This window comes from Homo sapiens, chromosome 10 (genome assembly GCF_000001405.40).
Source record: "Homo sapiens chromosome 10, GRCh38.p14 Primary Assembly".
Classification (NCBI taxonomy): Eukaryota; Metazoa; Chordata; class Mammalia; order Primates; family Hominidae; genus Homo; species Homo sapiens.
The window spans coordinates 30,134,534-30,156,669 of record NC_000010.11 but is presented as its reverse complement, the minus strand read 5'-3'; the positions used below and the strand labels follow the sequence as shown (position 1 = coordinate 30,156,669).

At 42.9% G+C, this 22,136-nt stretch overlaps 2 annotated features.

The window, feature by feature from the left end:
- Window positions 1,018-1,077: a silencer, noted in NCBI's record as "silent region_2264". NCBI's record gives its function as "represses an Ori minimal core promoter by ATAC-STARR-seq in GM12878 lymphoblastoid cells {active_cell/tissue: GM12878}" and the evidence as "EXISTENCE:reporter gene assay evidence [ECO:0000049][PMID:35858748]".
- Window positions 4,600-4,649: an enhancer, noted in NCBI's record as "active region_3200". NCBI's record gives its function as "activates an Ori minimal core promoter by ATAC-STARR-seq in GM12878 lymphoblastoid cells {active_cell/tissue: GM12878}" and the evidence as "EXISTENCE:reporter gene assay evidence [ECO:0000049][PMID:35858748]".

Below are 22,136 nucleotides of genomic sequence, written 5' to 3'. Positions count from 1 at the left end.
CAGCTAATTTTTGTATTTTTAGTAGAGACGAGGTTTCACCATATTGGCCAGGCTGGTCTTGAACTTCTGACCTCAGGTGATCTGCCCACTTCGGCCTCCCAAAGTGCTGGGATTACAGGCTTGAGCCACAATGCCTGGCCTCAATTCTTTGAGATTGTAGGACTGAGGTCTCCATTTTCTCACTGGCTGTCAGCTGGGGGCCACTCTGAGCTTCCAGAAGCCACCCATAGATCCCTGCCACATGGTCCCCTCCCCACACAACAGTTCCCTCCTTCAAGGCTAGCAGGATAATCCCTCACTGCAGTCTGCTAAGATGGTCTGTGTCATATAATACATTCAAAGAAGTTACCATCCCATCAGCAAGAGGGAATAATATCTAAGAAATCATTAATAAAGTCATGGAAGTTATTCTGGCCTTGTGTGAAGTAGATAAGCCTTTGATAATTTCTGCCCATAAATTTAGTTTATTTTATTGGAAATTAGAAACTGCTTAATTATGTGGCCTCATTATAGTGTGTGTTCTTTGACTTCTAAAAAAAAATTGACTTACCAATCAAAAACTTTACTTTTTGACCAGCCCAAAAAGGTAACCAAAATGAACTCAACTAAGTAATAAAAATAAAAACAATTCCTTCAACGCCAGGCTTCCCGCAGCTCTCTGCCCTGCTGCTACTTGTACTAAACATTTCCATAGCTTCCTCTTTCCTGGAGAACGCTGGGATGTGCTGTCAAAAGCAAGTTGTGTGCAGGGGTTTGCAACCTGGGTTTTGTTTTTCTTCTTTGTCATTGTGGATAAGCTCATTGATGATATGGTCCTTGATTAGGACTGAATAGGACCAGCGGTGGGGATATATATAGGTATATAGGACCCAGGATTTCCTGCAGAGCTTGTCATCTTTGGATCACTCACTGTGGAAAATAAAAGAATTCCTCGCCCAGTAGTTCCCTGTGGCTACAGTACCACAAAGCTGTGTTCTTTGGACAGGTTTGGCTGCCCCAGCAGTCCATGAGCGATTTCCTCTTTGTCACTGAGCCACCATCATGAACAAATTGTTTTGTCAGTTGGCCCGGACCTCCAAAGACTCAAGGGTCACGTTAGCAGGAAACTCCAGCTGTGAGTGTGACTGTGAGGTGGCCATGCCTTAAAGAAACTTTCATTTTTGTTTTGAGTTGTCATCATCTTTTCTTGGGTTCAACAACTTTGGATGAAACTGCATCTATTGTTGTTTCTACACCTGGAATTAAGCTGTCCCACTGAGGATAGTCATGGCAACTCCAGGGAAAGACCATGGAAAATAATCAGAAAATCCTTCTGAGAGCCAGAGAAAGAACTCTGCTTTGCATGAAGATGCTCAAAGTGTATCGGAGCCTGTGTCAGCCTTGCATGTGTACCAGGAGTAATCAGACTCCACCACGGGCCCAGTTCTCTTCACCTCTTTCAGCTATAGTTCATCTACTATTCATTTCTTTAGACTTGGGCCAGCCCATCCCCTATCCAGTACTTGCCCTGGGAGGAAGTATATAGAAGGTCTTCAACCCAGATGTGCTGATCATTGTACTCAGATAATTAGTGCTGCCTGGGACTTGATTTGTTTAACTCTTTGAATTCCCCACGTGTTCTTGGCTAATGCTAACTGATTTGATTTGGATTTGTGTCCCCACCCAAATCCCATGTCACACTGTAATCCCCAATGTTGGAGGTGGGGCCTGGTGGGAGGTGACTGTGTCATGGGAGAGTGGAACCTTCATGAGCAGTTTAGCACCATCTCATTGGTGCTGTTCTTATGATAGAGTTCTCATGAGATCTGGTCATTTTAAAGTGTGTGGCACCTCCCCACTCCCTCTCTTCCTCCTGCTCCAGTCATGTAAGACGTGCCTGCTTCCCCTTTGTCTTCTGCCATGACTGAAAGTTTCCTAAGGCCTTCCCAGAAGTTGAGCAGATGCCAGCACCATGCTTCCTGTACAGCCTGTGGACCTGTGGGCCAATTAAATCTCTCTCTCTCCTTTTTTTAAAATAAATTACCCAGCCACAGGTATTTGTTTATAGCAGTGTGAGAAGACACTAATACAGTTTAGTACTTGATCTTGGTTCAGCCACCAATGCTCTGTCTTGTCAATCATGGTTGTCATACTCTTTCTAACCCTAAATGTAAATGTTCCCTTTTAGAGTCCAGACAGTGGCCCTCCCCCAATCCCAGTCCCACTGATACCCAAAGCCCACCTGCCCACGGACGGCAGCTTTTTAAATCAAGGCACCCTGACCCTGTCTGGGCTTCACTCCACCTTCCCTCAGGATAAGACTCAAGCTCCAGGAGAGTGTGGGGCAATGGACAAGGTCAGACTCCAGAGCAAGATAAGCGATGGGATGGGGGTGGAGATGATGACGGTGTCTGTTGCTTTCATTTCCTGGTAGCATACAAATCACTCCAACATTTAATGCTGTGATTAAAGCTATGAAAAATTGTCAAATGAGGTCAAAATGAACTCATCAAAATGACTGGGTCAAAATGGCACTGATATAGGGGTTAAAAAGAAATCACTTAGGCAGATAGGGTATGGGAGTCCTCAGTGAGGCTTTTGTTTTTAATGAAAAGCAGCCCCAAATCATTTTCTAACGAAGAGCAGCCCGTAAAGTTGAGCTGCAGACACAGACAAGCAAGTTGGGAGCTTGCATGGGGGAATGCTGGCAGGAACTAGGGACTGGACATGTTCAAGATGGCGGCTCCATCTTCCCTTTTCAGCCAGCCACGTGTACAGTAAGGAGCAGACAAGAGGGCGCCAACCAAGGGAAGAGTTCACTTGCATAGTAAGATTAGGGTGGGATGACCAGCCTTCCCGCCCCCGCCCCCGCTATGTAAATGTCAAACCTGATCCAACCGATCTGTGAGCCCTATGCAAATCAGACACTGTCTCCTCAAGCCAGACTGTAAAATTGGGTTCATCCGCTACCAGATGGTCTTTTCCGTTCGGAAGACCCCTCTCTCTATAGAGAGAGCTCTTCTTCTTTCTCTTTTCTTCTGTCCGTTAAACCTCCACTCCTAAACTCCTCGTGTGTCCCTGTCCTAAATTTTCCTGGCATGAGAGGATGAATCCAGGGTATATACCCCAGACAACATAGCCACTTCAGCACAATATACATACACACGCCAACTGCTCAGTCCTGGGTGACAACAGCTGTTACAAGGCCACATTAATAACTCCTCATTTAGCTGTGTTTCTAAGTTTAAAGAGCACCTTCATATCTCATTTTTAAATTAATTCTAAAATTATATATTTTTAGATGTTTCAATGCTTCTGAAATTTATAGATGTCTTACATTCAGTGTTTTATAGTCACTGTTGGCTAGACATCAGCAATTATGTAGCTGTCATTGCCTAAGCTTAAAAAAAAACAACAAAAAAAACCATCATCAAAGTCTGAAGGGCAGGTGGCAGTCACCTGGAAAGGTCATGGAACAATCAGGGAGCACTCTTATCATCCGTAGGGACTGTTATTTGGTGAGGGAGAAAAGAAGCAAAAAGTGAATCAGATGAGTATAGCAATTCCTAAAGTAGAAGTCAAAGAAGTCAAACTCTTCAATAATTACAGGGCCATCTTAAGAACTTAGCACCATTGGCTTTAGCTCTTTCATGGGTTCTTTCAAGAAATGCTGTATCGGCCGGGCACGGTCACGCCTGTAATCCCAGCACTTTGGGAGGCAGAGGCAGGCGGATCATGAGGTCAGGAGATGGAGACCATCCTGGCGAACACGGTGAAACCCCAGCTCTACTAAAAATACAAAAAATTAGCCTAGTGTGATGGCGGGCACCTGTAGTCCCAGCTACTTGGGAGGTTGAGGCGGGAGAATGGCGTGAACCCAGGAGGCAGAGCTTGCAGTGAGCCGAGATCACGCCACTGCACGACAGCCTGAGCGACAGAGCAAGACTCCGTCTCAAAAAAAAAAAAAAAAAAAAAAAAGAAAGAAATGCTGTATCATTAAAACTCTTCATGGCACAGAGGACAGCTTATGTAGAAAAACACAGCTATTGGCGACTCTGTATCAAAAAAGCGATTCAGATTAAGATGGCAGATAGGAGGCAGGACTAGCTTGCAGCTCCCGCTCGGATGGACAGAGCAGCATGTGGAGACTCACATCGTGAACTTTTGCTCCAAGAACTACCACTGGAACATACCAGGAAAGCCAAGAGAATCCAAATACCATTTGAAGGAACTGGATCACCAGTGAAGTCTCCCTGAGACGCCAAAAAACTGTGAGTCTGCTTGCTTTCTCAATGGGGAGGCTCATGGTCTGGGGAAAGTTCTCAGCCCTGGTCACTGGCTGCCTGGAAATAGACTCGGTGCTGTTGCCGGGCGGGGCACAGTAGAAGTGAGACTGACTTTTAGGACTGTTGGCTGTATGGGAGCAGGGTGAGGCCTGTGACTGCTGGCTTTCCCCCGCTTAGCTGGCCACTTGTATGACTCAGCAGAGGCAGCTGTTATCCCCCTGGCAACATAACTCCATTAGACTGGGAACCACACTCCTATCGCCCACAACAGCCACAGCAAGCCACGCTCAAGGAGAGACTGAACTCAGACCTGCCTATCCCTGCCACCACCTGGTGGCCTTTCTCTACCCACCCTGGTAGCCAAAGACAAAGATCATAATCTCTTGGGAGCTCTGTGGTCCTGCCCACCTCCTGAGAAACCTGAATACTTAGCAAGGTGTCCTTAGGGCAAGTTTGCATTCCCCCCATAGGACTGCAGCTGATGTGCTTTTGAAAGCAACACCTCCTGGCTGGAGGGCAACCAACACAAAACCAGCACACTAAACAAAAACATAACAAAGGACGCTCAGAGTCTACTTCACTCCCCTGCTACCTCTACTGGAGCAGGTGCTGGGATCCATAGCTGCAAGACCTGAAGACAGGACTTTTTGCAGACACTCCCCCGTACAAGCCCAGAGCCCTGTAGCTCCACTGGGTGGCTAGACCTAGAAGGGCAAAATCAATCACTAGGGTTCAGCTCTCAGGAAACCCCATTCCTAGGGGAAGGGGGAGAAAACCACATCAAGGGAGCACCTCATGGGACAAAAGAATCTGAACAGCAACCTTTGAATCCCGGATCTTCCCTCTGACTTAGTCTACCCAAATGAGAAGGAACCAGAAAAACAATTCTGGTAAAATGATTAAAAAAAAAAAAGGTTATTTAACGCCCCCAAAAGATCATACCAGCTCACCAGCAATGGATCCAAACCAAGACAAAAATCTCTGAATTGCCAGAAAAGAATTCAGAAGGTCAATGATTAAGCTAATCAAGGAGGCATCAGAGAATGGTGAAGTCCAACTTAAATCAAAAACATGATACAAGATATGAAAGGAAAATTCTTCAGTGAAATAAATAGCATAAATAAAAAACAATCACAACTTCTTGAAATCAAGGATGCACTTAGAGAAATGAAAAAGGCATTGGAAAGTCTCAGCAATAGAACTGAACAAGAAAGATTCTTGAAATTCTTTCCTTCTTCTTGACTTTGGATAACCTGATGACTACGTGCAACTCTGAAGAAAGAACTTAAGAGCTCAAAGACAAGGCTTTTGAATTAACCCAATCCATAACAGACAAAGAAAAAATAATTTAAAAATGAACTAAAGCCTCCAAGAAGTTTGGGACTATGTCAAATGTCCAAACCTAAAAATAATTGGTGTTCCAAGGAAGAAGAGGAATCTAAAAGTTTGGAAAACATATTTGAGGGAATAATGGAGGAAAATTTCCTCAGCCTTGCTAGAGATCTAGACATCTAAATATAAGAAGATTAAAGAACACCTGGGGAATTCATTGCAAAAAGATCATTGCCTAGGCACGTAGCCATCATGTTATCTAAAGTCAAAATGAAGGAAATAATCTTAAGAGCTGTAAGGCAAAAACATCAAGTAGCCTATAAAGGAAAACCTGTCAAATTAACAGGAGATTTCTCAGAAGAAACCCTACAGACTAAAACAGATTGGGGTCTTATTTTTAGCCTCCTTAAACAAAACAATTATCAGCCAAGAAGTTTGTATCCAGCTCAACTAAGCTTCATAAATGAAGGAAAAATACAATCTTTTCCAGACAGACAATTGCTGAGAAATTTGCCACCATCAAGCCAGCACTATAAGAACTGCTAAAAGGAGCTCTAAATCTTGAAACAAATCCTCAAAATACACCAAAATAGAACCTCTTTAAAGCATTAATCTCACATGACTTATATAACAATAACAAAATTTAAAAAATAAGGTATTAAGGCAACAAATAACCCAATGAATATAATAGTACCTCATATCTCAATACTAACATTAAATGTAAATGGCCTAAATGCCCCACTTAAAAGATACCAAATGACAGAATGGATAAGAATTCAGCAACCAAGTTTTTCCTGTCTTCAGGAGACTCACCTAACACACAAGTACTCACATAAACTTAAGGTAGGGGGGTGGAAAAAGATATTCCATGCAAATGGACACTGAAAGTGAGCAGGAGTAGTTATTCTCATATGAGACAAAACAAACTTTAAAGCAACAGCAGTTAAAAAAGACAAAGAGACATTACATAATGATAAAAGGATGAGTCCAACAGGAAAATGTCACAATTCTAAATATATATGCATTTAACACTGGAGCTCCCAAATTCGTTAAACAGTAACTACTAGACCTAAGAAATGAGATAGATGGCAACACAATAATAGTGGGGGACTTTAATACTCCACTGATAGCACTAGACAGGTCATCAAGACAGAAAGTCAACAAAGAAACAATGAACTTAAACTATTCCCTACAAGAAATGGACTTAACAGATATTTATAGAACATCCTACCCAATAACTGCAGAATATACCTTCTATTCATCAGCACATGGAACATTCTCCAAGGTAGACCATATGACAGGCCACAAAACAAGTCTCAGTCAATTTAAGAAAATCTAAATTATGTCGAGTACTCTCTCAGACCATAGTGGAAAAAAGTTGGAAATCAACTCCAAAAGGAACCCTAAAATCTTGCAAATACATGAAAATTAAATAACCTTCTCCTGAATGATATTGGATCAACAATGAAATCAAGATGGAAATTTGAAAATTATTTGAACTGAACAATAATAGGAACACAATCTATCAAAACCTCTGTGATACAGCAAAAGTGATGCTAAGAGGAAAGTTCATAGCATTAAATGCCTACATCAAAAAGTCTGAAAGACCACAAATAGACAATCTAAGGTCACACGCCACAGAACTTGGGAAAGAAGAACAATCCAAAATCAAACCCAGCAGAATAAAAGAAATAACAAAGATCAGAGCAGAACTAAATGAAACTGAAACAAAAAAACAAACAAACAAACAAATACAAAAGATAAGTGGAACAAAAAGCTAGTTCTTTGAAAAGATAAACAAAATTGATAGACCATTAGCAAGATTAACCAAGAAAAGAAGAGAAAATATTCAAACAAGCTCAATTCGAAGAAAAATGGGAGATATTGCAACTCATACTACAGAAATACAAAAGATTTTTCAAGGCCTCTATGAGCACCTTTACGTGCATGAACTAGAAAACCTAGAGGAGATGGATAAATTCTTGGAAATATACAATCCTCCTAGATTAAACCAGGAAGATATAAAATCTCTGAACATACCAGTAACAAGCAGCGAGACTGAAATGGTAATTAAAAAATTGCCAACAAAAAAAGTTCAGGACCAGACAGATTCACAGCTGAATTTTATTAGACATTCAAAGAAGCATTGGTACCAATCCTATTCACACTATTCCACAAGGTAAAAAGGGAATCCTCCCTAAATCGTTATATGAAGCCACTATCACCCTAATACCCAAACCAGCAAAGGACATAACAAAGAAAACCACAGACCAATATCCCTGATGAACATAGATACAAAAATCCTCAACAAAATACTAGCAAACTGAATCCAACAGCATATCAAAAAGATAATCTACCATGATCAAATGGGTTTCATGCCAGGGATGCAGGTATGACCTACATACGTAGGTCAATAAATGTAATATACCACGTAAATGGAATTAAAAACAAAAATCACATGATCATCTCAATAGACACAGAAAAAGCATTTGACAAAATTCAGCATCCCTTTGATTAAAACCCTCAGCAAAATCAGCATACCAGGGACATACCTTAAGGTAATAAAAGCCGTCTACAACAAACCCACAGCCAACATTATACTGAATGGGAAAAAGGTGAAAGCATTCTCGCTGAGAACTGGAACAAGACAAGGATGCCCACTTTCACCACCTCTATTCAACATAGTATTGGAAGTCCTAGACAGAGCAGTCAGACAAGAGAAAGAAATCAAGGGCATCCAAATCAGTAAAGAGGAAGTCAAACTGTCACTGTTTGTTGATGATATGATCGTATACCTAGAAAACCCTAAAGACTCATCCAGAAAGATCCTATAACTGGTAAATGAATTCAGCAAAGTTTCAGGATACAAAATTAATGTACACAAATCAGTAGCTCTGCTATAGACCAACAGCAACTAAGCTGAGAATCAAATTAAGAATTCAACCCTTTTCCTAATAGCTGAAAAAAAAAAAAAAAACTTAGAAATATACCTAACCCCAAGGACCTGAAAGACCTCTACAAGGAAAACTACAAAATACTGCTGAAAGAAATCATAGATGGTACAAACAAATGGAAACATATCCCATGCTCATGGATGGGTAGAATCAATATTGTGAAAATGACCATACTGCCAAAAGCAATCTACAAATTCGATGCAATTCCCATCAAAATACCATCAGCATTCTTCACAGAACTAGAAGAAACAACCCTAAAATTCATATAGAACCAAAAAAAAAAAAAAAAAAAAAAAAAAAAGAGCCTGCATAGCCAAAGCAAGACTAAGCAAAAAGAACAAATCTGGAAGCATCTCATTACCTGACTTCAAAGTGTACTATAAGGCTATAGTCACCAAAACAGCATGGTACTGTTTTAAAAATAGGCACATAGACTGCTGGAACAGAATAGAGAACCCAGAAATAAAGCCAAATATTCATAGCCAACTGGTCATCAACAAAACAAACAAAAACATAAAGTAAAGAAAGGACATCCTATTCAACAAATGGTGCTGGGATAATTGGTAAGCCACATGTAGAAGAATGAAACCGGATCCTCACCTGTCATACAAAAATCAACTCAAGAGGGATCAAAGACTTAAATCTAAGACATGAAACCATAAAGATTCTAGAAGATAATGTCAGAAAAACCCTTCTAAACATTGGCTTAGGCAAGACTTTATGACCAAGAACCCAAAAGCAAATGCAACAAAAACAAAGATAAATAGATGGGACTTAATTAAACTACAAAGCTTCTGCACAGCAAAGAAATAATCAGCAGAGTAAATAGACAACCCACAGAGTGGGAGAAAATCTTTACAATGTATACATCTGACAAAGGACTAATATCCAGAATCTACAACAAACTCAAACAAATTAGCAAGAAAAAAAAGACAATCCCATCAAAAAGTGGGCTAAGGACATGAATTGACAATTCTCAAAAAAAAAGATGTACAAATGGCCAATGAGCATATGGAAATATGCTCAACATCACTAATTATCAGAGAAATGCAAATCAAAACCACAATGCGATACCACCTTACTCCAGCAAGAACAGCCCTAATCAAAAAATCAAAAAGAAAGTAAATGTTGGCGTGAATGCCGTGAAAAGGGAACACTTTTACACTGTTATCGGGAATGTAAGCTAGTACAACCACTATGGAAAGCAGCGTGGAGATTCCCTAAAGAACTAAAAGTAGATCTACCATTTGATCCAGTAATCCCACTATTAGTTATCTACCAAGAGGAAAAGAAGTTATTATATGAAAAAGATACTTGCACACGCATGTTTACAGCAGCAAAATTTGCAACTGCAAAAATATGGAACCAGCCCAAATGCCCATCAATCAGAGTGAATAAAGAAACTGTTCTATGTATCTACCATGGAATACTACTCAGCCATAGAAAGGAGTGAAATAATGGGATTCACAGCAACCTGGATGGAATTGGAGGCTATCCTAAGTGAAGTAACTCAGGAATGGAAAACCAAACATCGTATGCTCTCATTCATATGTGGCAGCTAAGTTATGAGGACGCAAAGGCATAAGAATGATACATTGGACTTTGGGGACTTAGGGGAAAGGGTGGGAGGGGTTGAGGAATAAAAGACTATACACTGGGTACAGTGTACACTGCTTGGGGGATGGGTGCTCCAAAATCTCAGAAATCACCACTAAAGAACTTATTCAAATAACCAACCACCACCTGTTCCCCAAAAACCTATTGAAATTTAAAAAAAAATTTTTTAAGTGATTCAGCAGAGTCACGGTGTGAATCCAAAGTTGTCTGCAATTTTTCTTATGTTTCCCTTTTAGTATGTGCGTAAAAGCAATCTATTATAAAACCTATGTCGAAATAAGACCAAAACATCTTTTTCAATATGCATAAGAGAAAATTCCTGCATAATACAAAAATATTGTCTCATAGCTTGGCAGTGTTTTTTCTTTCTTACTAATGGTGCATCTCATAGACATTGGCTCTCAGATCGTGTGTCCTTTGGTCATTGAGAAGTGGAAGACACTTTGCCCTCTAGTGTGGCTCACTTGTTCTCCTTTTGATGTGACATGGATTCTACTTGGAACAGATGGATCCATTTTTTCTGTTCTGATAGATTTATCTGTGACTGCAGAACATCCCTTACTTCTCTGGGACATTCACAGTGGCCACCGACATTAAGATCTAGGTTAATAAATGCTTGTAAAATCATCATGACTTGTAAGAAGCCAAGCTTGAAGATGGGATAGAAAGAAAACTGCCAAAGTACAACACAACTGCCAATGCTGCCAGTTGAATGGCGAACAGGAGGGATGCCAAGCAATTCACTGCTCGGCCAGCAGCCTTGAGTAGGAAAAGTGTGGACAAGGAAAAGTTGCAATCCAAGCTCATGGAAATCAAGCTTAGTGGGACCACAATTACCCTTCATGGGTTGTATATGGGTGCTCGCAAAAGTTCTTATGCCACATTGCACATGCCAGGATTTGATTGCAACTACATATTCAATGACTACCTTCCTTTTGGGGAAAGACACGTATGTTATTGCTGTGGGTGACAGTATATCCATTTTCCTTCCCAATAGCTACCTAATTTCCTTACTGGGAATTACATTTCTGTTGAGCATTGTCTTGGCCCAAAGGCATCCTGGTTCCTGCCTCCCACTGCCTCTTCCCTCTCCATCTGCCTCAAGCTCTGGTCAGGTTGAGTGGCTCGGTGACCCAAGCTTGGCCACTCAGTTTCTTGCTCTTGGGAACTTTGGATTTGGTGCATGTGAAACAGGGAAGGAGAGGAATTTCAGAGGTTAGACTCCTCACAGTAGTGCCAGGCATCGTCACAATGCTTATTGCAAAGCTGTTGCTCTGTTTCACTTAGCATGACCCTCCTCTGCAGGTCTCCCATGGTTTTTGCTGTGCCAAACCTGTTCTTTCAGCTTCCCAGCAATTCTGAGAGCCCCAGATGATGTCCCCTTAAATCTCTTATTGCTTCAAGTCAGAGCCAGTTTTTGTTACTTGCTACCAAGAACCCTGGTTGATTCAATTGCATTTCATATGGAATTGGTTTTCTTAGTCTGCTAGGGCTAAAATCCCATAGACTGCATGGCTTAAACAACAGAAATATATTTTCTCACAATTCTGGAGACTGGGAAGTCCAAGATCAGGCTCCAGCAGTGTTTCGTTTCTGGTGAGGGCTGTTTCTGACTGACAGACAGCAGCCATCTCACTGTGTGCTCACAGGGCCTCTTCGTGCATGTACAGAGGGAGTGTGTGTGTGTGTGTGTGTGTGTGTGTGTGTGTGAGAGAGAGAGAGAGAGAGATAGAGACAGAGCACCCTGGTGTCTCTTCTAAAAAGGACACTAATGTTGTTGGATTAAGGCCCCACCCTTATGACTACATTTAACCTTAATTACTTCTTCATAGGCTGCATATCCAAATACAGTCACACTGAGGATCAAGGCTTCGGTGTATGAATTTTGGAGAGACACAGTCAGTGTGTTAATAACAGTGGTACCACAAAGGAAAATAGAGGCTGCAGAATTTTCCCCAGAGTGTCCTCTTTTGTGCCATTAGAGAGAAGAGATGAAGGAATGAAATCTTTCTCTGGAGATCTTTAAGAACACAATGATGTTACTTTTGACATAGGGTGGTCCTGACAAAAGGCAGAGTGGCATAATAGATGTGACTGTTGCAAACTTCTCCTCCTCAGGACTTGGTGAACTGTTTGCTGCGAAAGTTCAAGAGGATAATATAGGCTAAGAACACAGAACTCCCCTCCAACCGTCCTCCTTCCTACTCTGTCTCTTTGAGCCACCAAAGGGGAGACATCCAGATTACTTTCATATCTTATTCATTTGTTTGTTTGTTTACTTTAGAGACAGGGTCTCACTATATGGCCTAGGCTGGCCTGGAACTCCTGGGCTCAAGTGATCCTCTCATCGTGGCCTCCTGAGTAGCTGGAGCTACTCATGTGCACCACAGAATCTGGCTTTAATATTTTAATGTTAAATTTTCTTTCATGGCTCCATACTTATTTTAGGCTTGTCAAATCAATATCCCCCCAACAAACCCTGTTAATACATATCAATATTTTTATCTTGGAAACAATTTTGCTAACAGGCAGACATGCCACCTGGAAGAAGGTGATGAGGTATGTATGTGCATTTATTTGGCATTCAAAATGAGTGCTTCCATTGATAAAATTATCTCAGACATTTCTTTACATATTTATTTATTTAGAGACAGGGTCTTGCTCTGTTGCCTAGGCTGGAGTGCAGTGGTGCAATCATGGCTCACTGCAGCCTTGAACTCCTAGTCTCAAGTGATCTCCCACCTCAGCCTCTTGAGTAGTTGGGATCACAGGTGTACACCACTGTGCCTGTCTAATTTTTTAATTTTTTTTAATAGAGACAAGGTCTCACTATGTTGCCCAGGCTGGTCATGAACTCCTGAGCTCAAGTAATCCTCCTGTCTCAGCCTCTCAAAGTCCTGGGATTACAAGCATAAGCCACTGAGTCTGGCTCATTACCCAATTAATAGAAACAGACAAAATTGAAGTGGCAAGCAATGTCACATTTTAGGAGAAATATATGCTAGTCTCTGAAGGTGAGTCTTTCTTGGTGCTCTTGGTTGCCTCTACTAATAACATTCACCAATGCAGGAAGACTCAGAATTGCCCATATGTGCAGGTGGTTTTGGAGGCTTTCCGTGGTACTGCCCTGGCTATTCTCTGTGGTGCAGTGGGGTAGGGATGGGGTACATTTGTTCTGGTTTCCTGAGCCCTGATCCACTGGATTCTCTAAGTAGGCACTATGCTTCCTGTGAGAATTAGACTTCTGAGTCCTCAGTGGAAGAACCCATAATATGAATTACACTGCAAGTAGAGGTAATAAATTTAACTGTCTGAATATATTTTTCATGCAGCTGGCTAGGCTTAGCAGTTCTAGTTAGGATGCTGAATTAGCCCTCGAAGCACCCAGCAGGTGTTCATGTGGTGTCAGCAGTGGGAGTCCAACATACCAGTCTTTAAGTTCCTCCTACTTTTCCTGGGTGTTATAAGAAATGGCTGTCGGGGGATCTGTCTAGTAAATCTTGGTCTAAAATTCGGCAGGAAAAAGGAAGGCAAAGGGGCAGTGCTCACATACCCAGTCATGAAAGTTTCTATCAGCTTTGCACAAGCTAATGTGAGATTAAATGTAAATACTTTCAAAAAGAGATGAAACTATAAAAGAAATGAACTTAATGGTAAGCATCATGGGTTAAGAGAAAAGCTAAGGTATTCAGTCTCTGGGCAGCACCTCTGAGTTCCACACTTAAGGATTTCTTCTGAAATAAAACTTGATACCCGAAGCCTTATTTGCTCACATTTCATTTGGGAAAGGGTTGGCAGCAAGATATAAAAATGAGGTCCTGTCTCCTGTGAAGTAGGAGAGATGGCTGGGAGCTGAAGAACCCATTGGGAAACGAAGAAGATACCTTGCAATAGTACATGGGAAGGTGACAGACAAAACCTCTTGCCCCTTTTCATCTAGAGTAGTGGTTCTCTAACTTGAGTCGGCATCAGAGTTAACTGGGGCCTTGTTAAAACAATCTGGCCAGGCGTGGTGGCTCACGCCTGTAATCCCAACACTTTGGGAGGCTGAGGTGGGCAGATCACTTGAGATCAGGAATTCAAGACCAACCTGGCCAACATGGTGAAACCCTGTCTCTACTAAAAATACAAAAAAAGTAGCCAGGTGTGGTGGCAGGCAGCTGTAATCCCAGCTACTCGGGAGGCTGAGGCAAGAGAATCTCTTGAACCTCGGAGGCAGAGGTTGCAGTGAGCTGAGATCGCACCGCTACACTCCAGCCTAGGCAACAGAGTGAGACTCTGTCTCAAAAAAAAAAAAAACAAAACCCACAATCTGCTGTCCCCCCACTATGAGTTTCTGATCCAGTAGGTCTAGGGTGGAGCGATAGCATTTGCATTTCTAGCAAGTTCCCAGGTAAGGCTGAGGCTGCTGGTTTAATAAACACACTGTGAGAACTGTCAATCCAGAATACTCTATTGGTAAATGCAGTGTGTGAGGTAGAATTCAGAGCCTCATGCCACCTCCCAGGTGCTAACACCGCTGGCTCTCTTAGTGCCTGATTTGCAAACCTATTTAGCTCGTTGCTTGGGTCCAACTTTTATAGACTCTGTTTAAAATATCTGCAGGTAAATCTTGAAAGAAAGGAAGTCAAGTATCTATCTTGACTCTCTAGAATTTATTCCCTGCTTCCATCAGACAATATTTCTGCATATAGGAGATATTAGTGGAAGCTTTCTCTTGGAGACTAAAGAATAAACACATCAGGAGAAAGTCCAGGCATGGATGTCCTTGGCATTAAACATAAAAATTAGGAAATTTGGCTCCAAGAACAGATAGTACAGAACAGCTCCTGTAATTCAGAGCAGTCTTGATAGTGTCAAGGTCCCAGCAGTGTCCATGATTTGAGCCTCAAATCTCTTTTCTTTGGCAGGCTCCTCCAGGCTGCCCCAGCAAGCTGCTAGTGCCATTGTGGCGATGTGGGCCTCACTCTGGTTCTCACTGGTCTAGATAAATTCTTTTTGTTACAAACAGTTCAAGGACTTCTGCTCCTCAGTGAGTCAGGCAAGGTTTTGGGGCTAGTAAGTCAGCGAGTTTTCAACTATTCTGTTCTGAGAACCCCTTTACACTCTTAAACATCATTAGGGACCCTAAAGGGCTTTGTTTATGTGAATTGTACCTATCAACATTTACCATATAAGAAATGACAAGTGAGAAATGTATAAAATATGTATTAATTCATTTAAAGATAACTACAAAACAATACATGTTACCTTTCAAACATTTTAACATATTTTATAATTTAAAAAACCCGTATTTTTCAAAACAAAGAAAATTAGAAGGGTAGTCTTGTTTTATGTGTTTGCAAACCTCTTTAATGTCTAGCATAATAAAAGACTACTGGATTCTCATATCCGCTAAAGTCACGGAAAAGGAAGGAGCATTTTATTAGTCTTTTCAGATAATTATGGATATTTTTCCTGGTTATTACATCAAAACTCAACAAGTGGTAGTTTCTTGGCTGGCACGGTGGCTAACACCTGTAATCCCAGCACTTTTGGAGGAAGAGACGGGCGGTTCACTTGAGGTCAGGAGTTCGAGACCAGCCTGGCCAACATGGCCAAACCCCCATCTCTACAAAAAAAAAAAAAAAAAGTAAATACAAAAAGTAGCCAGACATGGTGGCACGTGCCTGTAATCCCAGCTACTCGGTATTACAGTAGATGGGTAGGGGAATCTTTTGAACGTGGGAGGTGGAGGTTGCGGTGAGCTGAGACCACGCCACTGCACTCCAGCCTGGGTGACAGAGCAAGACTCCATCTCAAAAACAAACAAACAAACAAACAAACAAACAAAAACAAGAGGTAGTTTCTTTAAGGTTTGTTGCAATGTGGAATCCAAGACCATATCAAGGAACTATTCATACTTTTGTTTCATAAAGTCCATGGGTCTTTCTTGCACCTTGAATGAATCTTTTCCCATACTCAATGTTTAAGATGTAATAAAATTTATAATATTTACTGCTCATCTAAGGTGTCCTTTTTTTTTTTTTTCTCTTTAGAGACAGGGTTTCACTCTGTTGCCCAGGCTGGAGTGCAGTGGCACAATCATAGCTCACTGCAGCCTCGAATTCCTGGCTCAAACGATCCTCCCATGTCAGCCTCCCATATGTTGGGATTACAGGTGTGAGCCACCACACTCAACCCTAGGGGGTCCTTAAGTGAGACGTTTTCCCCCTCTGAATGTGTGGTGGCAAAAACATAGTGACTACTAGTAAAGTTTGGTGCCACTGCCTTGGTTTATGCTAAGATGCCAGCAGTTTTACCCATAGTTTCTGTGTGAATGTCAACACAGTGGAAAGGTAAATAATATTTACTATCATTGAAAATAGTTTTGGTGCCATGGAATCCCTGGAAAGGTTTCAGCAACTCTCAAAGTGTCATGGACCACAACCTGAAAACAACTATGTTAGGAGAATGAGGTAAGAATTGCATCCTACAGTTTTTTCTTTTGTTTTTTTCTGAGACAGGATGTCACTTTGTCACCCAGGCCAGAGTGCACTGGCATAATCTCGGCTGACTACAACATTTGCCCCCTGGGTTCAAATGATCTTCCCACCTTATCCCCCTAATAGCTGGGACTACAAGCGAGTGCCACCACACCTGGCTAATTTTTGTATCTTTAGTAGAGACAGGGTTCCACCGTGTTGGCCAGGCTGGTCTTGAACTCCTAACCTCAGGTGATCCACCTGCCTTGGCCTCCCAAAGTGCTGGGATTACAGGTGTGAGCCACTATGCCCAGCCCCATCCTGCATTTTTATCTTGCTGCCTTTTTTATCCTTTTATCTTTCAGTGGGATTGCTAAAGACAATCCCAAGATCACTTTACGACTCTTCTAGGTCTGGCAAGGTGGCTAAGACCGTAATCCCAACATTCTGGGAGGCTGAGGCAGGAGGATTGCTTGAGGCCAGGAGTTTGACACCAGCCTGGGCAATATAGCAAGACCCCATCTCTAAAAAAAAAAAAACCAAAAAAACCCCCCACTCTTTTTGTTTTATTCACAGCATCTAATTACAAGGCAAAACAAATCACTTAAAAGAAAATTGCAAAGTCTTTTAAATATAATAAAAATAGTAATAAGTAACCCAATGAGGAGTTGCTCTCCTGGTAGTCAGATCATGAAAGACAGTGCACTTTAGAATACACAGAAAAATATAGGCTTTACTTGCTGTAAATGTATAGAAACTTTTATGAGAAACTTAAAGGAAGAGAATTCAGTGATGTCCATCAATTGACGTCCATTCTCCAGAAACAACAGCTGCAGTTGTTTCTATTTGGTGGAAGCAGTGGGCAGAGCTGGGAATTCTGGGAACCTGGTGGTGCTGAGGAGCCGAGGTGCAGGGAATGAGCACAGAACTGGGACTTAGGGGAGCATCCTAGAGCAGGGGCGGGTGCCAGGGAAGCTCAGATGGAAGGAGCCCCGGCCGCTCTCCCTCCTGCTTAGCCAACCCCTGTGCCGTCTGTCCCTCCCCAGCCACATGACACACCAACTGAACTGGGTCAGTCACTCCAGAGTCCTGAAAGATCTGAGAGCCCCAGAGCCTTGCTCCCTGGCCTCAGACTTGAATTGAGACCCAGCACTTCCTTGAACTTGGCTTTTTTGACCAGGTTTCCTGGACCGTGTGATATTTTGTTGTGGATATTCCATCAACTTCATAGGGTAGAGTATGTCCAGCAACCAATTCCTGGGGCCAGAGGGATTCCTATGGAGACTTAAGATCCCCAGAGAACATGTTTGTGGTACAGGCATGGCCTGGATGCCTTATTCATTGCAGTCAGGGATCCCAAAACATGCTTTATTAAAAAGTCTCTGCTCAGACAGCGTATTGGCACCATCGGTGCTTTTGATGCTTAGAACTGAGGAAACTTGGCTGGGTGTGATGGCTCACACCTGTAATCCCAGCACTTTGGGAGACCCAGGCAGGAGGATCCCCTGAGGTCAGGAGTTCAAGACCAGCCTGGCCAACATGGTGAAGCACCACCTCTACTAAAAATACAAAAATTAGCCAGGCATGGTGGTGCCCACCTGTAATCCCAGCTACTTGGTGGGGCTGAGGCATGAGAATTGCTTGAACCTGGGAGGCAGAGATTGCAGTGAGCCGAGATCGCACTACTGCACTCCAGCCTGGGTGACAGAGCGAGACTTTGTCTCAAAAAAATATATAAATAAATAAAGAACTAAGGAAACTCAGGCCGTCCAGTGCAGCTGCCCATCATCCCCATCCCAGTAAAAATGGAAGCAGCCGTCGGAGTCTTTTCTTAGGGTTAAACTCAGTGTTTGACACTTGGGGCAGAGACCAAAGCGAGTGGAAGAGAAACTTTTGTAAAAACATCAGAATAAGTTATGATAGAAGCAAGACTCTCTGGTGACTTGTGAAGGAACCCCAGAGACCACCAAACAAAGCTACTTCCCATGCAGTGGGAGGCAGAGATGTTGTTCCATCCCTTCATCTTCAGCCCCCACCCAAGTATCCAGCACATAGTAAGTACTCAGTAAATATCAGGTGAGTAAAGGAATGGATTGCTGGGTCATCGGAAGCAGAGCAAGGGGATCTTGGCTGTGAGGGAGAGGGCACACTCCTCTCTGCATCTCCTGTCCCTGAGTTTGGAGTCTGAGGTGTCTAGACCTGACTGATGATGTTTCCAGGCATTGCCAGACATTGCCAGGCATTGCAGATGGACTTGGCCCCTTCCAGGCAGGGAGCAGGATAAAGAATCAGGCATCCCAGAAAGGAGAGGATGGCATTTTGATGCCAGACTCTCTGATGGCATGTTGAGTTTCTTTGTTTCTTTCTCTTCCATGATTCATAAACATTTAATGTTCCAGTGCTATCAGAATTGTCTTGTGGAAAATAGACAGGAGTTTATCTCCACACTGGGGCCAGAAGTTTAAAGAAGAGTAGATCCTTAGAGGCTGGCCTGAAAAAGCCCTAAAAGGAAGATTTTTCAGGAAGCCAGCTGTCAGGATTACAAGGGCCCAGTTGTCCCTCTTCAGAGGTTATTACTTATTTGATTCACCTTTTTTTTTTTAAGAAGAAAGTCAAAATTTTGTCTGAGTGCAGTGGCTCATGCCTGTAGTCCCAGTGCTTTAGGATATGGGAGGATCACTTGAGCCCAGGAGTTAGAGACCAGCCTGGGCAACATAGCAAGGCCTCCATCTCTACAAAATAAAAATTAAAAAATTATCCAGGTGTGGTGGTCTGTGCCTATAGTCCCAGCTATTTGGGAGGCTGAGGCAGGAGGATTGCTTGACCCCACTAGTTCAAGGCTTCAGTGAGCTATGATTGTACCACTGTACTCCAGTACTCCAGCCTGGGTGACAGAGCAAGACCCTGTTTCTTAAAAAAAAAAAAAAAAAAAAAAAAAATAGCCAGGTGGAGTGGCTCATGCCTATAATGCCAGCACTTTGGGAGGCCGAGGTGGGTGGATCATTTGAGGTCAGGAGTTCAAGACCAGCCTGACCAACATGGTGCAACCCCGTCTCATCTCTACTAAAAATACAAAAAATTAGCCAGGCATGGTGGCAGGCGCCTGTAATCCCAGCTACTAGGGAGGCTGAGACAGGAGAATCACTTGAACCTAGGAGGCAGAGCTTGCAGTGAGCCAAGATCACGCCATTGCACTCCAGCCTGGGCGACAGAGCGAGACTCAAGTCTCAAAAAAAAAAAAAAGAAAAAGATAAAAAGTCAAAGTTTTGCCTTGCCATGTTCTCCTTGACCAACTTGATCGTTACTTCCTGTAGCTTAGCATGAACTGAAGTCCTGCAGGAAGCAGCATCTGTCAAACACGCATTTAACATTGACCCAAGCCTCTACCTGTAACATCTGATTGCAGCACATCAGAGCATTGTCCCTACTGGGTCATCAGCCTCAAGACAGGCTGGAGGAGATGGAGCCACCCATGTGGCAGGAGCCGATGGTCTAGCTGCTTTGAGAACATGTCACATAAGTGTGTGCTGCTGACGTCAATATCACACTAATAACACAGGGTATCAGTTAAGTGCAAAATATTTTCACAGGCAGCTTTCTGAGGGCCACTAGTTTCTATTTATTTATTTGTTTGAGACAGGGTCTCGCTCTGTCACCCAGGCTGGAGTGCAGTGGCGCAATCTTGGCTCACTGCAGCTTCAATCTCCTGGGCCCAAACGCTCCTCCCATTTCAGCTTCCCAGGTAGCTGAGACCACAGGTGCACACCACCACGCCCAGGTATTTATTTTTATTTTTTGTAGAGATGGGGTCTCACTATGTTGCCCAGGCTGGTCTCACACTCCTGGGCTCAAGTGGTCCTCCTGCCTCAGTCTCCCAAAGTGCTGAGATTACAGGCATGTGCCACCACACCCTAACTACCCACTGGTTTTAAGTCAACTTAAAAACCCTTCAGTTGATCCTCCTGTCAACAGATATTTTTCAGTAAGGGGCCTCCACAAGAAGAGAGTAGGTGAGCTCTCCTGGTTACTGACTGCAGCAGCCATGGGGAGTTCCAGGGCTAATTCAGCTCCGTAGGTGGGTTTCTACATTTAGATATCTACAAAGGCAGTCTGTATTTTTATAATTCTCTGATTAATTGGTGGTTGTGGCTGGCATTTGGATTTTTTTTTGGGGGGGGGGTTTGCAACTCTGTATATAATAATGTTTTAAAAGTTTGTGTCAGATTTAATTAGAAACAAATTTCACAGCACATTCATCTGCTTGGTCTCACTCCCCTGGACTCCCACTAGTAATTTTGTCGTAGATCCTTTTCTCAATGGCAGCCAAAATCTCCCAACACAATAGACGTATAGTTTCCAGGCAGAGAACTTGAGCTCTGGAGTTCGATGGACCCACTCAAGCCCTGTTTGAACTCTGTAGCCACGCCTTTGGCCGGCTACTTAATTATGCCGGCCCTCATTTTCTGATCTATAAAATGGGCATGGTACTACCATGGCTCTAAGAGCAGCTGTGAGGACTATTGGGTGGTCATCTATGCAGGGCATCTAGCAAAGTGCCCAGCCCAAAGTAGGGGCTCAACAAATAATAAAAACTACTTTTAAAAATAATTTTAACCGCCGGGCACGGTGGCTCACGCCTGTAATCCCAGCACTTTGGGAGGCCGAGGCTGGTGATCACCTGAGGTCAGGAGTTCGAGACCAGCCTGGCCAACATGGTGAAACCCCGCCTCTACTAAAAATACAAAAATTAGCTGGGCGTGGTGGCACCTGCCTGTAATACCAGCTACTTGGGAGGCTGAGGAAGGAGAATTGCTTGAACCCAGGAAGCAAAGGTTGCAGTGAGCGGAGATTGTGCCACTGTACTCCAGCCTGGGTGACACAGTAAGACTCCGTGTCAAAAAAAACCATAATAATAATATTAACTATTTTATTTAATGGTATATGTGTGTCTGAGGTATGGGATGTATATGTGTCAGTGGTGTGTGCATCTGATATGTGTGTGTGTTTGTGGGAAAAGAAAAAATGATGTGTGTGTGTGCATGCGTGTGTGTGTGTGTGTGCACACATGCATGTGTGAAGTTCTTGGCTTTGTAAAGAAGGGGTCTTTCCTGACTTTCTCACCGTGGGCCTGCATACAGCCATCTGTCCAACCCAGGTTGGCGTCCAGCTAGCCTTGTTTAAGTACTTCAGCCCCTCATACCTGTGCTTCCTGGACCTTAGATCCACATCTCGGGGAGAAGGAAGACCAGCTGCATTCCTTGCTTCAAAGCAAACCAGCACTTCCTGAGCTCCACAATGACAGGCCCACCCTTTTCCTGGCCCGAGTGTTTATTACTCCTTTTTCTGGTGTCCAGGGACTTCGACTGAGCTCTCCCCACCTAACTCTCTCCAGCAGCAGCCTGGGTGGCACCATTATCCCCTGTCCTCACTGCACCCAGGGACCAGTGGGCCCTGCCATTCTTGCCTGCTACCTTGCAGTCTCTAGAGTAAACTTCCCTGGGTCT